The 16,610-nt window shown below is 42.2% G+C and overlaps 1 protein-coding gene across 49 annotated transcripts in view, besides 2 other annotated features; it reads left to right on the top strand.

Moving 5' to 3' along the window:
* The window catches only part of RHOBTB1 (Rho related BTB domain containing 1), a 141,108-nt gene extending 129,421 nt beyond the window's left edge, over positions 1 to 11,687 (top strand). For 26 of the 49 annotated variants that reach the window (XM_047426086.1, XM_024448271.2, NM_001350902.2 and 23 more), the window contains 2 exons: positions 257 to 362; positions 896 to 3,109. In XM_047426086.1, the coding sequence (XP_047282042.1) occupies positions 257 to 362; positions 896 to 1,065 (276 nt within the window). In that variant the 3' untranslated portion in view covers positions 1,066 to 3,109. Of the gene's footprint in view, positions 1 to 256; positions 363 to 895; positions 3,110 to 11,400 lie in introns of those variants that run through there. The other 23 variants (XM_047426092.1, XM_011540424.2, XM_047426088.1 and 20 more) reach the window with 6 other exon arrangements.
* Positions 1,685 to 2,184: an enhancer, noted in NCBI's record as "OCT4-NANOG-H3K4me1 hESC enhancer chr10:62630121-62630620 (GRCh37/hg19 assembly coordinates)". NCBI's record gives its function as "activates a minimal SCP1, AML or CMV promoter by ChIP-STARR-seq in primed H9 embryonic stem cells {active_cell/tissue: H9 hESC(primed)}" and the evidence as "EXISTENCE:reporter gene assay evidence [ECO:0000049][PMID:30033119]".
* Positions 2,185 to 2,686: an enhancer, noted in NCBI's record as "OCT4-NANOG-H3K4me1 hESC enhancer chr10:62629619-62630120 (GRCh37/hg19 assembly coordinates)". NCBI's record gives its function as "activates a minimal SCP1, AML or CMV promoter by ChIP-STARR-seq in primed H9 embryonic stem cells {active_cell/tissue: H9 hESC(primed)}" and the evidence as "EXISTENCE:reporter gene assay evidence [ECO:0000049][PMID:30033119]".
* Positions 11,688 to 16,610: the final 4,923 nt, after the last annotated feature.

Here is a 16,610-nt window from a genome sequence, read left to right as displayed (position 1 = left end):
TACTTTAAGCTCGTGATTCGATATTAATTATTTTTGTGCACCTATGACAGCAGGGAAAGGAGGGGTGTGCCCAGCACTACATTGGCTGGCATTGGAGCCATGGCCAAAGTCAAAACATTGAGGTCAAAACAAGAGGTTTACCGAATTAGTTATATAAGCCCTTCATTTCTTTTCACCCTTAAAATGGCTTCCCCAATTTCTTTGTAGCCCCTCTTTAGAAAATAGTCTTACCCTCCTTTTGCTCACTTTTCTGCAGTTTCACAATGCCCACCAGTTGGCCGCCTGGTGTTTGCACCACATCTGCACCAACTACAACAGTGTATGCTCCAAGTTCCGTAAGGAAATCAAATCAAAATCTGCAGGTGAGACTGTGTGAGGCCCCCATTCATCCAGCTCTCCTCACCTCTCATGGAAGCTTTTATCTTCTATGTCCCTGGAAAGGAACATGGTCAGCAGGCAGCTCATGGATGATTCCTCGAGACTGGCTGGTGGTCACATATTAATGTGAGATGACATAAGGAATTGAAGGCTGGGAATTGTCTTTGGAGAACTTGATGATGAGGGGAGTTGGGTGGGCTAGAGTCCAGGGTGCCCTGTTGCAGAGAGTGCAGAGGTGGTGGCCTTCCCCTTGTTTAGGGAGACAAGCTTAGGAGCAGGCTTAGACTCTGAAATCAGGTGGTCCTGGGTTCAGGTTCTCTGTGCCCAGCTGCATGACTACAGGTAAGAGATTCTTCCTCTCAGAACGTTAGTGTCACCTTTTGCAAATGGCCCTAATCACAGTCTCTGCCGCATCACGTTTTTGAGAGGATATTTGAGAAGCTTTAAGCTCAAGGCCTAGCACATAAAAGGCATCAATGAACCGCAGGTCTTATGGTCTGCATCTTTCCTTCACCAGACAACCAGGAATACTTCGAGCGGCACCGCTGGCCCCCTGTGTGGTACCTGAAGGAAGAAGATCACTACCAGCGTGTGAAAAGGGAACGAGAGAAGGAAGATATTGCACTAAATAAGCATCGCTCAAGACGAAAGTGGTGCTTCTGGAATTCATCTCCAGCAGTGGCCTGAAGAGGAAGAGAAAAAAAACAAAAAACAGAAACCAATCGGTAATCTGATCCACCACTTTTCAAAGCACTACTATAAAATTCGTCTTGTTAGAGATACGACATAGTTCAGGTTTCGGGCACTGATCTTCCTCCACTTTTGTGCATTTATCTTTGTTAGGATCAAAGCACAAGCTCACCATCAATGAGCCTGGACAAAAAGGGAAGCTGACTCTCACTGCATTCCTTAAACTGATATGTATATTTTTTTTGTTAGGAGGCTTAATAAACTTTAGTCTGTTATTTTGTTTCTTTTTATACAAAGAAAAAAAATTCAGCTTTCATGTTTCTGATTCCAGATTGGAAAATATTTTTATATGGTCTGTTGTATTTTGTTGAAATGAAAATACTGTGTATTACTTTATTTTACAGGCCACAATTGATTATGAAGTCACCCTGTGATTCTCTTTGCCCACATGACCACCGAGCATTATTACGTAATTAGAGGGTTATCCTTTTGTTGTGAAAGGAAGGAGGGGACTGAAATCTCCCAAAGTGCAAATTGGAGAGTGTTTAATCTTTGTTCTGTTGAATAACATCGGTGTAATTACAAAGTCAACTCCAAGAATGTGTATTTACAATATTTGCCATGTTAAGTGCTGGTAATTATATGGTTATATGTGCCATGTAAAATATAGTGATATCAAATATTCTGTTGTTTCCAATGTCTAGTTTCAAGAGGACAATCTTTATAATCATTAGAAGGGCTTATTAAATCCCAGCATTATCCAGGGCAAACTCACTGGTGGACCTGAATACATAAGATACCATTAGTGCGCTGGTGTTCGGATTGCTGTATTAGGGTTTACATCTCTCAGTATTCCTTGAACTTGCCATGCTTCTGCATGCAGATTCTTCACTGACTTGAATTGAGATGGGCAAGGGAAAAGGTCCCTGGACTCCCTCCTGCCATCTACAGGCTTGTCACATCTCACCACCAGAAACAGGCTTCCTCAGGCTTCTCACCTGTGGCCAACTTCACTTTGTAAGACCCATATTTTTAACTCTTCCCAGGGAAAATTCATGTTGCTGCAGAAGTAGGCTAAGGCAGACCACCCACTTCTGCTGAAATGCATTGGGAGCCTGTGAAAGCACAAAGCTGGAGGCTGGGCGCCTGCGTTCTCCTACACGGAAAGGAATCTAATTCCAAGAGTCTAGGAAATGGTGCTATTGTGAGTTCGTTCTGACTCTTTCTCATTCTGAGTTTTCAGTGTTAAACTAGGAAGTGTGACAGCAGGGGAGCTTTCGTGAGGCAGTCAGTCATTGCTTCTCTGTAAATTAAAATGTTACAGCACACACATACACACACAGAGAGCATTTCAAGGCCACAGCTCCACACCTGCCATGGGATGTTAATGTGGCAGGGGGTGGGGCTCATTCTGTTGGGAGGTCAAATTACCAATGCCAAGGACTGTTGATTTTGTTTTTATTTTTATTTTTTCTTCTAGCTTTTCAGAAGATGGAAATGAGACAGTTGAGTCCAAACCCCAATGCTGACAGCCATATGCATTTGAAAATCTATCTAGATTACAGATGGGCATTTATTACTGGCAGTGGAAACACCAGATAGAAGATCTTAGGAGAGGCCCAGAAATGCATCACCTTGTCATGACAAAAGAGAAGGCAGTAGAGTAGGGATAGTTACAAATGCATCCATCTTAATTATTTTCAATAGGCTTGTAAATCTTATCGATGGAAGGAGAAAGGAGACAAGATGTGGAAGAATTGACATGTATCCCACCATAAAATGGTAGAAGATGAGTTTTCAATGAGTAGTCATAGTTGAAATTTTACAACCAAAGCTCCCATTTGATTGTAATCTTGCCAAAATATAATGGATGTATAAATGAACTTGGGGTATAAGCAATAATATCCACTAGTGTTGTTATCAGCTACTGTAACCAAGTGGCTGGTTCATTTGGTTGATGCTGATTATGGCCTTTAACCATGGTGGTTTGTTGTGTGTTTTTTATTTCACAAAAAGCCAATAAAATTGTTTAGCTATAAAATGCCTCCAGTTTTGTTTTAAGGACAGACATCATATTGTGTGTGTGATTTAACAGCTTTTTTTAAATTATCAAAACATTAAGGGTGCTGGGTCATGGGGGCTTGTGCATGCTCCAGTAACAAAGCAGCTTGAATGACTTGTCATTTTTGTATTGGGTATTGTCAGCAGAGATTCCAGTGTCATAATGTAAATGAAGTGCCTGGTGCTTTGCTCTTGGCTAATACAGTATGTCACTAGACATAGTACTGCCTGGGGCCAGAGAGCGGGTTGGGGGAGAAACTAGAACTATCCTACAGGACTTAGTATAATCTGGGTTTGGATAATTTCTGCCAGCAGTTGAGTGATAGGTCTGAGTTGCTGAGTTCATGAAAAGTTTCCTGCAAAGCAGGTCTGAGAAAGCCTTTGTGAAAATATCTGGACAATTTCTGGACTTCTAGGTAATACAATGTTTACCCAAGCTCAGAGGGAAGAAAGTCTCAGTGAGATGTCATTGAGGGACTTTTCTGAGTGACAGGCTACCCATAACTGTATGGGAAGGTGCTGACCACTGTAAGAAATAGCTGTGAAAAGAAAACAATGAGATGTCCAACACATTTCCACCTTTTAGAGGTGGATGGTCCCAATCATGGCACCTTTTACATAAAGTATACCGGTTTCTTCTTACCTTTAGAAAGTCTTGGTCTAAGTTTCTGGGAGTAATGTCTGGCAAATCATCAGGGATGTCAGCACCCTTATGTTGGCATTCTTTTTCTTTTATACAACTTCAGCAAAGTTTCCTATACTGGCATTTTGAGAACCACAGACCCTACTGGTCTAGCTGGAACTCAAATATTTTCATTATGGACACTCAGAAGCAAAAGTCCAATGTTTCTAAGAGATTTTTTCATGCTTGCTTCCAATATATGGTATATTAGTTGTCAAAATTCAGTTTTTCGTCACTATGACATTGGCTAGGCAGAAGAAATACTACTAGTCAGAGGGAAAAAACAAAGTGAATCTTGAGTTTGGAAACAGTTTTATGAGTTCAGCACTTCTGAATGAATGCTTGCCTGCAAGCTGAAGATTTGTCCGCCCTTTCCATGAATTGGATTTTTTTTAATTGGCACAGAGATAGATAGATGATAGATAGATAGATGATAGATAGATAGAGAGATAGAAGATAGACAGATAGATAGATGATAGATACAGATCTCCTAGTTGGATGTTAGAGGGCAAATAGCAATAATTTCTCTTTTCTAGAAGAATGTGACTATTGCATAAAAGTCATAGAGGTAAAAGTTAGCCAGAGAGAATGCATTTGTGTTGTATGTCTATGTGTGTGTAACCAGAAACAGCATAATGAAGAAAAGGGCAATTTAAAAAGAAAGAAAGAAAAAAAGAAGGAAGGGAGGGAGGGAAAGGGCCACTGAAGAAAGACACAGAATTGAATTAAACACTGTGAGCCACAGATATATTATTTATTTCAAAGTGCTAACTTAAGTCGAGAGATTACTGCATATCCCTCGACTTAATTTATTGTATGATGAAGACAGCTTTCTTGAATTTCCAATTAGGAAGCAGGTGATATATGCATCATGAAAGGTTTAGACTTAGAAGTGAAGACACTGGTGTGGCAATACTAGTGACCTCCTTTAAAAGCTACACTTCTGTAGAAGTAATGCTATATCCCTTGGCTGCATTAGAAAATTCTCCCTTGTGCTGACAGTGCTTCTAAATTGGATATTTTTACTTGAGCCATTTAGATGCATAGTTTTTTACTGGGCTAACATACAGGTGCTCATCAGTTAGATATTTATAGACTGTAGTCTATGAAATATGAAAGTAATTTATGAACAGATAACTCTTGGGTGGAAACCAAGCGATCATGCAGTTGCATATCCACAGACGTGAAAGAATTATCAACAACAGTAGCAGACGTGAAGCGACTTGCCTCTCCTGTCGTTCAGTTTCCACAGCGACATGGATTTACAACAGAACATAGATGAAATGGGTGCTACCTAAATGTGGCCCCATGCTTCGAAGGAGTATTTAAGTTCTTTGAATATGTTCTCAATCCCAAATACAAGAATGGTTAGATATTACAGGCAATCGATGAGGACAGAACTTGATTCATTTCTTTCCACTTGGAAGCCAACCAAAGTTTGACTATTCTTAAAATTCCCTCCCAATATGATAAAAAATAAATATATCCTTTGATTTGATGATTCATGGTAGTCCCAGTTAGGGTGATACTCCCCTGGAAGGTTAAGTTCAACTGTCATGTGAAAAGATACACAACTTCTCTAAGCTTTAGTCATCTAGAAAATGGGAACAGATATCACTGAGTTTTCAGTACAAGTTAAATGAGATGACTTAGGTAAGGCACCCATATGCCAAGTACCTTGGACATAATAAGTGCTTAGTGAATGGAAGCGAAACACAAATGAAATGGAACCTGTGTGCTCAGCATTTTTGACCTTGGTTTTCAAGGCCAAAACCAAGGCCAAAAATCCAAGAGAGAAGACAATCATGCATGTTGCAGAAGAGAGCAGTGTGGTCTTTTCCTGCCAATCTCTTCAACCAAATGCTGACCTTGCTGCTTAGTGCTTCATGACAGTGGTTTAACAATTAGAAAATAGGAGCTATGGTAAAGTAAATAATAATTATTATTAATAATAATGGGCTGGAGGGAAAGGTGGGTGGTGGGAGAAAAGAAGAAAGGGTGACCCTTTCTAAGAGAACATTTCCCCTCACTAGGGCCTCCATGTTTTCTATTAAGTAAAGTCAGCCCACTTCTGGGCTGAGCTTGGCTGAACCACTGATTCACTCGGGAGCAATTCGTTTTCATTGCTCCCAATCATTTTTTTCTTACTTTTCTTGAAGATTGGATGCAAAAAGTCTAGTTAGCCATGCTTCTCAGTGCTTGTCACATTGTCATCCTCAGTCAACGCAAGGCCCTCTCTTTTTATATTTTCTCTTTCTTCCAAAATACCCACTCCCATCTTCTGTTCAATGTATGTCTTTAAACATGGGTTTCTTTATATACAGTGTTGTTTCATGTGCATAATTGTTACACAAATGGTGTTACATAGCAAATTTCCTTCTATCTACTTTTCTGACTCCACACTGTTCTGGAAATCCAGCCATTTTACAATGTGTGCATCTAGTCCATGGCTCTCCAGGGCTGCCTAGCCTCCCATAGGCTGCATCCATCCCTTGTGGTTCCTCCATTCCACCGGTGATAGAACCACTAGCCAATTCCCATTCCTTGGCGCTACAGTGAGCCTTCTTGTACATGCCCTGGGTCCAGATCTAAAAATGAATTCCAGGCTGGGCACAGTGGCTCACTCCTGCAATCCCAGCACTTTGGGAGACCAAGGCAGTCATATCACTTGAGGTCAGGAGTTTGAGACCAGCCTGGCCAACATGGTGAAACCCTGTCTCTATTAAAAATACAAAAATTAGCCGGGTGTGGTGATGCATACCTGTAATCCCAGCTACTCAGGAGGCTGAGGCAGGAAAATTGCTTGGGCCCGGGAGGCAGAGGTTGCAGTAAGCCGAGATAACACCACTGCACTCCAGCCTGGGTGACAGAGCGAGACTATGTCTCAGAAAAAATAAAAATGAATTCCAGGTCCCACTCCAGATGTACTGAATCAAAGCCTCCCAAGGTGATAGGCATGTGTGGGAAGGGAACACTGAACTCAATGACAAAAATCTTTCCCTACCTTAGCACTAAGACAATATGCAAAGAATCTGAAAGGCTATGGGCCAGCCTGGAGACTGGTTCCTCTGACCAGCAAGAAGAGAAACTAGGTTTAGCTTCCTGCCATCTGAGAGGCTTCAAGAGGCTTCCCTGATTGTGAAAGTTGTTACCTATTACAATGAGTTATTCCATCCCATCTGGCCTTGGCCTTTTGTATCATCTGACCCTCGTGAAAGGCAAGAGGCCAAGATGACTTCTAAAGAGTTCCTTGAATACTAAGATGCCTGTTTTTCTGCGTTTAAAAAACTTCCCTAGCTTGATTTAATCATGTCACAATGTATTCAGATAGCAAAGCATCACATTACACACTATAAATATGTACAATTTAATTTGTCAATTATACCTTAATAAAGCAGGAGGAAAAATTCCCTAGTGAGATTGTGCACATGTGTTGAAGGATATCTTCTAATTTTATTTTACATATGAAATCTAAAGAAAAAGTAAGCTTCCAGTACAAATTTTGGAGATTGTTAAAACTGTCTCAGAAGTCCTGGATAAATTATTTATTGGACATAAAACATCCCTATCTCCTAGTTTCCTGTCCCCCCACAGAGCATGCCACCTAATTAGATGGAGAGTGCTGAAATCACTATGTTTTCTCTCTCAGCCCCTCTCCCATTACCAGGTTTGGACCCCTTTGCAACTGTCACCAAGATATCACTTCTCTTTATACACCTGAGATTTCTTTTAAAATAAGTAGTCAAGCCGGGCACAGTGGCTAAAGCCTGTAATCCCAGCACTTTGGGAAGCCAAGGCAGGCAGATCACTTGAGGCCAGGAGGTCAAGACCAGCTTGGCCAACATGGTAAAACCCCATCTCTAGCAAAAGTACAAAAATTAGCTGGGCATGGTGGCAGGCACATGTAATCCTAGCTATGCGAGGCTAAGGCAGGAGAATCACTTGAACTGGGGAGGCGGAGGTTGCAGTGAGCCGAGATCCCACTACAGCACTCCAGCCTGGGCAACAGAGTGAGACTCTGTCTCAAAAATAAATAAATAAAAATAGATAAAATAAAATAAGTAGTCATCTGAAATTTTTAACTCTTAGAGAAATGGGCTTAACAATCCAAAAAAGAAAAAAAAAGAAAGAAAAATTAATGTGAACTTTCTCCTCAGCAAATGCTATTCCGCTGGTTGCTTTTGCTCTTTTTTTGCTTATATTTGCATAGTTACATAGTTACCCCAGTGGCAAGGTCTCAGGCATGTTAAGATGCACTTTTATATGCTCTTTCAGTTTTATTCAAATGTTTCCGTTTTATTCAAATATTTCCATGGCCAACTGGATGGATCAATGCTGTAAGTCTTGGCACCACTCTACCAGAGTCCAAAAAACTGATGTGAGACTCATCATAATAATAATAACATTTTTGAGTCTATGTTATGGCCATGCGTTGTGATAAGTGCCTTGTTTGCATTTGTCTCATTTAGTTCCCACAACCGCGCCTTATGGGGAGGATAGTGAGTTCCCCAGAAACAGAGCCTGAGGTGAAGATTCCCAAGCAAGTGGTTCACTTAAGAAATGCCCTTCCATGAGACCAGTAAGGAAGGGGGCGACTGGAAAGGGTGAGAAGCCAAGCCAGGAAGCCCCACTCAGTCTGGTCTCAAGGGGTGATCTGGAGTAAAGACTATGCCATAGAGGAGGCTTTTATATTCCTGCACGAGTGGTCGAAGGCTAAGTGCTCAGGCAGTGGAGGGGGAGGGGATAATGGAAACTCCAGGCATTTCAGGCCGGAGGCAGGGAAAGCAGCTGCAGCAGCATACGAGGAGTCCTGCAATGGGAGTCTCCAATGTGGACTCTTAAAGGCAAACCAAAGAACACAGAAGCTGGGAAGGGGCACCCAGACAAGTTTAAAAGGATGCAAGGGACCAGCCAGTGGATCATGCCTGTGATTCCAGCACTTTGGGAGGCCGAGGTGGGCGGATCACTTGAGGTCAGGAGTTCAAGACCAGCCTGGCCAACACGGTGAAACTCCATCTCTACCAAAAATACAAAAATTAGCCAGGCATGGTGGCAGGCACCTGTAGTCCCAGCTACTCGGGAGGCTGAGGCACGAGAATCACTTGAACCTGGGAGGCAGAGGTCCCAGTGAGCTGAGATTATGTCACTGCACTCTAGCCTGGGCAACAGGGAGAGACTTCATCTCAAAAAAAAAAGGGGATGTGAAGACCCCACGGAGGAGCTCAGATTGATCTGTGCATTAACCACTATTTTGAAAATCTGAGAACAACCTAGACTATTTGATGGACACACTAATGGAAGTTTTGTGCGCTATCAGCAGACAAAAAATAAATACGGATGAAAAAAATTGCATCCTCTGTTGCCACTGTGTAAAAACAAAAAAAAACAATTTAAAGATCAAAAAATAAATTCATTGTAATTAACGTCTCAAAGTTATAGAACCTAAAACATAATTATTTGTACTCCCCCCAAATAATGTACATAAGGCTTATTTGAAAGGGCTTCATTAAATTTCCTCTAAATTGTGCAAAACAAATTTCATGATTTACTTGAACCTAAATGAATTTCTGCCACACAGCATTTTACAGATCTACAGCAATTTCTTTCTAAAAAAGGCCAGGATGGCAATTCTAGTTCTCCACCACCCCCATCATCACCCTACACATGCACAGAATCAGTCCAGGAGAAATGAATCAAAAACTAAAAATGGGAGGTAAACTTTTAAAACTTGTATTTAAATACCAACAGCCTGATTTCCATGGGTTTTTCTGCCTGATTTTTATTTCACCCACCATATGACAAAAGAAGAAAGAAGAAAAGAAAGAGGAGAGGGAGAGAGAGAGGAGGGAAGGAAGGAGGGAAGGAAGGAAGGGAGGGAGGGAGGGAGGGAGAGAGGGAGGGAGGAAAAGAATGAAAGAGAGAAAAGAAAGGAAAAGAAAGAAAGGAAGAAAGAAAGAGGAAAAGAGGAAAAAGAAGGAAGGAAGGAAAGGGAAGGAGAGAGAGAAATAGGAAAGAAAGAAAGAAGGAAAGAAAGAGAAAAGAAAGAGGAAGTAAAGAGAAAGAGGAAAGAAAAAAAGAAAAAAGAAAGGGAGAAAGGAAAAAGAGAAGGAAGGAAGGAAGGAAAGGGAAGGAGAGAGAGAAATAGGAAAGAAAGAAAAAGGAAAAGAAAGAAAGAAGAAAGGAAAGAAAGAAAGAAAGAGAAAGAAAGGGAGAGAGAGACAGCGTATTCTTTCTAAAAGGCTGAGCATGGTGGCTCACACCTGTTATCCCAGCACTTTGGGAGGCGGAGGTAGGCGGATCACCTGAGGTCAGAAGTTCGAGACCAGCCTGGCCAACATGGTGAAACGCTATCTCTACTAAAAATACAAAAATTTGCCAGGCATAGTGGCAGGCACCTGTAGTCTCAGCTACTAGAGAGGCTGAGGTGGGAGAATCACTTGTATCCAGGTGGTAAAAGTTTCAGTTAGCCGAGATCACGCCACTGCAGTCCAGCCTGGGTAAAAGGGTGAGACTCCATCTCAATAAAAAGAAAGAAAGAAAGAAAAGAAAAAAAAGAAAAGAAAGAAAGAGAGAGAGGAAAGAAAAAGAAAGAGAGAGAGAGAAGGAGAGAGAGAAGAAAGAGAGGAAGGAAGGAAGAAGGGAAAGAAGGAAGGATGGAACGAAGGGAGGAAGGAAGGAAGGAAGTCATTGCTTAGAGCCCATGTAGAACCCGACCTGACTCCTAGTTTTAATAAACTAACAAAGATCTTCTCCAGCTCCAACTGCCCAAATTCTAAGCAACCCTGCCAGCTGCAGCAAGGAAAGGCAACATCTTTCCTTGGATCATCTTTCTGGTCTTATTCATGCATTTAAGTTGGGAATAAAATGGTTTTATTGACCATTAGATCTTGCAATTTGCTGGGGGAGTGGAGGGAGAGTAAACATTTGAACTTATTTTAGTGGGTATCTTTTTACGTTCTTTCACAGTTTGGGTGAGTGATGGATACATTGGTAATATGGGTGAATGATGTTTCTATATGTAATAGTAATCTTTGTTGAAACTAGCTCTTTCCAAAAATGGCATTTATCTCTCAGTTTCAACGGGATGTTCTTCTTGACTAGGCATGTTCCAAAGGAGAAATGATTGCAATCACAACCAGTTAGGATCTCTGTCCTGTCTTAAAAACACTCAGCATGAGCAAGGCCTTCAGATGAAAGCCATGAAAAGATTAAGAGGTAGATTCCATTGAAATCTACCCAGGAAGTGAAAGCCTGCCAGGTTAAAGATAATTTCACATCTCATTTCTCCTAAAACAAACCACCTAATAACAGGCTCATTGATCTTCAAGTCTGGAGAATACATTACAGCTGTCAGTTTCCCCTTCCCACCTTCTCCCTCACCCCAAGCATCTAGGCCTGGCCCTAGAGAAATTCCATTTGACCAATATCGGAACATATGCAAACAGATGATGCAAATGAAGTTCTAGATGTTTTGTGGTAGGATAAACGGAAAACAATTCCCAAATCTTACTGAGGTTCAAACAGAACGTCCTATAACCTAAAATCTCTGCCTTCCCAACTGACTTTCTCATCTTCACCCTATTTTGCAGGGAGGTAACCGGTTCCGTCAGTTCTGGAAATTTCTTCCACCAGTGTGCTGCCAATTATCTACCTCTTATCTTGGGAAGCCTGGTGATCATATCTTGATTCAGCCTTCCTCCTGCCTTGCCAAAGGCTTGATCTGAAAATTATCACAAATAATTTCAATTCATCTAGGACTTTTTGAACTTCTATATGCCAAAAATAGTATGAGACTCAGTCTTTGGCCTCACAGAGCAACTAGTATCTGATTGTACACACCCAAATACCAATACAACAATAAATGAACATACCCAAATTAATGCTATAGACCAGGTATGGAAAATTGGTTTCATCTCATCTACTGACCCAGATCAGTAATGCATGATTGTGTTATGAGGGATTCTGAGGCACAATCCAAGGCAAAGTTTAAGGGCAAAGAGGGCTGAGATTGTACAATAGCATCTGATGTGGCTCTGGGAAAATGAACTAGTGGCATAATTGTCAGGTGTTTATTCATTCACAAATATTTATTGTACTGATACCTGCCTAATATGTGTTGGGCACTTTTCTAGGCACCAATGTCCCTATCATTATGGAGTTTACATTCCTTTGTGGGAGGTGTGCAATGAAAACTAACAAACTAATATGTACTTTTATCAGGTAAGTGCTAGAAAGGGAAAAAAAGAAGAGGATAGAAGATGATTAAGAATATCATTTTAAACAAAGGTAGTCAGAGATATTCTCTCCAAGGAGGTATTATTTGAATAGAGACCTGAATTAAGAGAATTTGGAGAAGACACTGGGGATAGTTGGTCTGTGCTCCACAATGTTTGTAGCCTCAGCTAAGACTTGAAGGCTCTTGGCTGAGACTTCAGCAGGGCTGTTGACTAGAACACCTGCATAAGTCTCGCCACATGAATTAAGTGAAGAAGTGAGTCCAGCAAACAACTAGGAAAATGGCATCTGGAGGCTAAGTATGTGCAAAGACCAGAGGACAAGACCCGACTTAGTATATTAGAGGCTGGTCAAGTAGACCTGTGGCCTGGAGATAAATATGAGCAAGAGGAAGAATGGTAGACATATTTAAGGGGTTAGTCAGGACAAATCACATCAGACAGTTGTTCTCAATCAATGTGCAATAGAATTGCACAGTATGTTTTAAATGTATGGACATCCTGGCACCATCCCATCTGAATTTTTTATTGGCTTTAGGGTCCCCGTTTCCTTTACTGAATATAATATTGTTGCTGCTGCTGCTGTTGTTGATTATAAGGAAATTTTTTTTTTTTTTGAGACAGAGACCCACTCTGTTGGCCAAGCCGGAGTGCAGTGGCACGATCTAGGCTTACTGCAACCTCCGTCTCCCGGGCTCAAGCAATTCTCCTGCCTCAGCCTCCTGAGTAGCTGGGATTACAGGCATGTGCCACCACGCCTGGCTAATTTTTGTATTTTTAGTGGAGACAGGGTTTCACCATGTTGGCCAGGCTTGTCTCGAACTCCTGACCTCAGGTAATCAGCCCACCTCAGCCTCCCAAAGTGCTGGGATTACTGGCATGAGCCACCATGCCTGGCCAGAAATATTTATTTTCTGAACTTTTACTGAACCAAAGACCACTATCTCAAAAAGTTAAATTCCTCTCTGGAGAGTTTATATAAGGATAAGAGAGCATGGCCTTTAAGGTGGTTGTTTCTCATCTGGGAGATATTATAGAGAAACAGCTGGGTTGGTTAGGGTCGATAATCTTCAAATTGTTGAAACTGCTAAATCAAGAGGGTGCTCCACCTGGAGAGGTGACCATCTTAATGACCAAAACCTTGGGTGAGGAGGGCAAAATTTCTTTTGGTTAAGTGGTCATAGGTCAATGCAAGAACCAGGGAAGAAAGACCAGGCAGTAGTTCTGGCAATCACATTTCATGTGAAAGAAGACGTCAAATAATAAAGTATGCAGTGGCAGAGTTCTTTCTTGCTCTGAGCCCTGACACCACCCCAGGGACTCTTTTTCTCCCTTAAGACATAGAGTATCCTTCATTGCCTCTCCATCTCCTTTTCATCCTTTCTCCAGTAAAAAGCAAGCTCTAGAAAACCATCAGACTCGGCCGGGTGCGATGGCTCGTGCCTATAATCCCAGCACTTTGGGAGGCCGAGGCGGGCGGATCATGAGGTCAGGAGATGGAGACCATCCTGGCTAACATGGTGAAACCATGACTCTACTAAAAATACCAAAAATTAGCCGGGCGTGGTGGCGGGCACCTGTAGTCTCAGCTACTCGGTAGGCTGAGTCAGGAGAATGGCATGAACCCGGGAGGTGGAGGCTGCAGTGAGCCAAAATCATGCCACTGCACTCCAGCCTGGGTGACAGAACGAGACTCCATCTCAAAAAAAAAAAAAAAGAAAACCATCAGACTCTTTCACTCTAAGGTGTTTTGGCAGGTGGTGGCAACAATATCTCCCATTGCACATGTTCTTCTTACTAGGGGACCTTGACACTCCTCCCATTGAGTTATGGAGTCACTGGCCCTTCCTTTTGAACCTGGGTGGATCTTTTTTACTACCTCAAGCAATAGAATATGGTAAAAGTGACACCACATGACTCCCAAGGCTAGATCAAAACTATGCCATGTGCTTCCACTTTCTTCTCCGAGGACACACTCTCAGAATCTAGCTGCCATTCTCTAGGAAAGCCCAAATGAGCCCAGGCGGAGAAACCACACAGAAAGGTCCAGTGTAAGTGTTCTTCTAATCAATAGTCTCACTGAGGTCTCAGCCAGAAGCCAGCATCAGTCACCAAATATATGAGTATAGGCACCTGCAAACATTATGGAGTAGAAACAAGCTGGTACTGCTATGTCTTCTCCAAATTTCTGACTAACAGAATCCATGAGAATAATAAAAATGGTTGTTTTATGCCACTAAATTTTGAGATGTTGTGTTATCCAGTGCTGTAGTTTGGATAATTGTCTCTTCAAACTTCATATTAAAATTTGATCCCATTGTTGGAGGTGCAGACCTAACAGGAGGTATTTGGATCATGGGGGTGATGATCCCCCATGAATAGAATGAATAGAATATGCCCTCCCTGGGGGTAGAAGGGTATGAGTGAGTTCTCACTATTAGTTCCTGCAAGAACTGGTTGTTAAAAAGAGCCTGACTCCTCCCCCACTTCTCTCTTGCTCCCTCTCCTGCCATGTGATTTCTGCACACATTGGCTCCCCTTTGCTTTCTGCTATGAGTGGGAGCAGTCTGAGGACCTCACCAGATACAGCTGCTGGTGCTATGCTTGCTATACTTCTTGTGCAGCATGCAGAACCATGAGCCAAATAAACTTCTTTTCTTTATAAATTACCCAGCCTCAGGTATTCTTTTATAGCAACATGAAATAGACTAAGACATCCAGCAGTAGTAACTAGAACAAGTATTAATGACTAATGAGGTTTGAAGTGTCTTCCCTTCTCATTGAATAATAATAGGAAACAGTGCAGTTGGTGTAGAAGCTCTTAGAGTCAGGTTTGGGGTCAAATCCTGGCTCAGGCCACTTAATAGCAGTATAAGTGCTGGGGCAGGTGATGATCTCTTGAACCTCTGTTTCTTTACCTGTAAAATGGTATTGGAGGCTGAAGTGAGGGATGAGTATATAAATGAATATGTAAAAGAAGCCCTCAATCTCCCCCTTTCCCTGTGCTCCTCTCCCATCCCCACCAGAAGCGTGGGAGGGTTCATGGGTTAGTCCTCGCCCCTATACCAGGGCCATAAAGCTTTGCGTAGTAGCTTCCTCCTCCCTGGATGTCCCACCACAAGGATCTCTTTGAGTTTCTGTCCACTTATATAACCATCTTCTCAGGGGCCCAAAGGGCTGGTGCACAAATAGAAGCAGCCATCTCAGCTTAGAGTTGAAAAGAATTCAGCCTTGAAGTTCTACAATTACACACATCACTGCTTGCTTGTCTATTTCACCATCAAAACAAAGAAGCAGCAACTTGGTCTCCTACATGTCTCCTTCTCTGAAAATTGTCTCTCAGTGATTTCTGGGTAGTCTCATTGTTCTGCCTTTGGACCAGTCCTCTGGCCTGACTGCAGTCCCAGCCACAGTCTGGTGGCTCCTTTTCCCTAATTCTAAGGAGGCTGGATGAGTATGCAGAGGATGCAGGATGGGAAGACACGGCCAGCAGGGACACCAATTAGGAAGCCTCAAAGCAGTGATGGGGGCCAGAAGAAGGGAGTATTAAGGGAAAAAAAGTCCCCCTTTCCCAGGGTAACCTTTCCAAAAACAGGCATCCTGTTTCTTACTATCAAAATCATATATATTCTTGGGCATCTGGCACTATAAAGCTTCAGAAGTTCTGCCCTTGGCTTTTACAGATCTCAACAGGAACTGATATTCAGATCATTCAACGTGAATGAGAACAGGACAGATTATGCCTAAGACAGGTGTTAGGCTACTCATCCAATAGAATTCCTAGAGCCATCCAATTGTCTGACTTGGAAATATTTTGAGCCCAGTCTCTTCACCATAGTATAACTGATATTTTCATCACAAGAGGCACAGCCATTTTAGGAGGGAACCCTCAGCCACCTGTCCATGCTTCAGCAGAGAAGTGTTTTCACACCTGTCTTAGTTGGCTCAGGCTGCTATAACAAATTACCACAGACTGGGTGGCTCAGACAACAAACATTTATTTCTCAGAGTTTTGGCAGTTGATAGCCCAAGATCAGGGAGCCAGTGTGGTAAGGTTCTGGTGAGGGCTGTCTTCCTCGCTTGTAGAAAGCCATCTTCTCCTGGTATCCTCAGCCAGGAGAGAGAAAGAGGAAGCAAGCTCTCCTGTCTCTTCTTATAAGGGGACTAATCCCATCATGAAGACTCTACCCTCATGACCTAATTAACTCCCAAAGGCTCCATCTCCAGGTACCATTCCCATTGGAGGTGATTCGGGGGTAGAGGGAGCCACAAATATGCAGTCCATAACAACACTCCCTCCACAATTGTGGATTACTAAAACTACAATTCCAGAGCCCCTCCATATACACTAAGCTTGTCCAACCTGCAATCCATGGGCTACATGAGGCCCAGGATGGCTTTGAATGCAGCCAACACGAATTCATAAACTTTCTTAAAACACTATGAGATTTTTTTTTTTTTTTTGCAATTTTTTAAAGCTCATCAGCTATCGTTAGTGTTAGTATATTTTACGTGTGGCCCAAGACAATTCTTCTTCCAGTGTGGCCCAGTGAAGCCACAAGTCG

This window comes from Homo sapiens, chromosome 10 (genome assembly GCF_000001405.40).
Source record: "Homo sapiens chromosome 10, GRCh38.p14 Primary Assembly".
Classification (NCBI taxonomy): Eukaryota; Metazoa; Chordata; class Mammalia; order Primates; family Hominidae; genus Homo; species Homo sapiens.
Note: the sequence above shows the minus strand (reverse complement) of the source record. Positions and strands in the feature narration are given on the sequence as shown.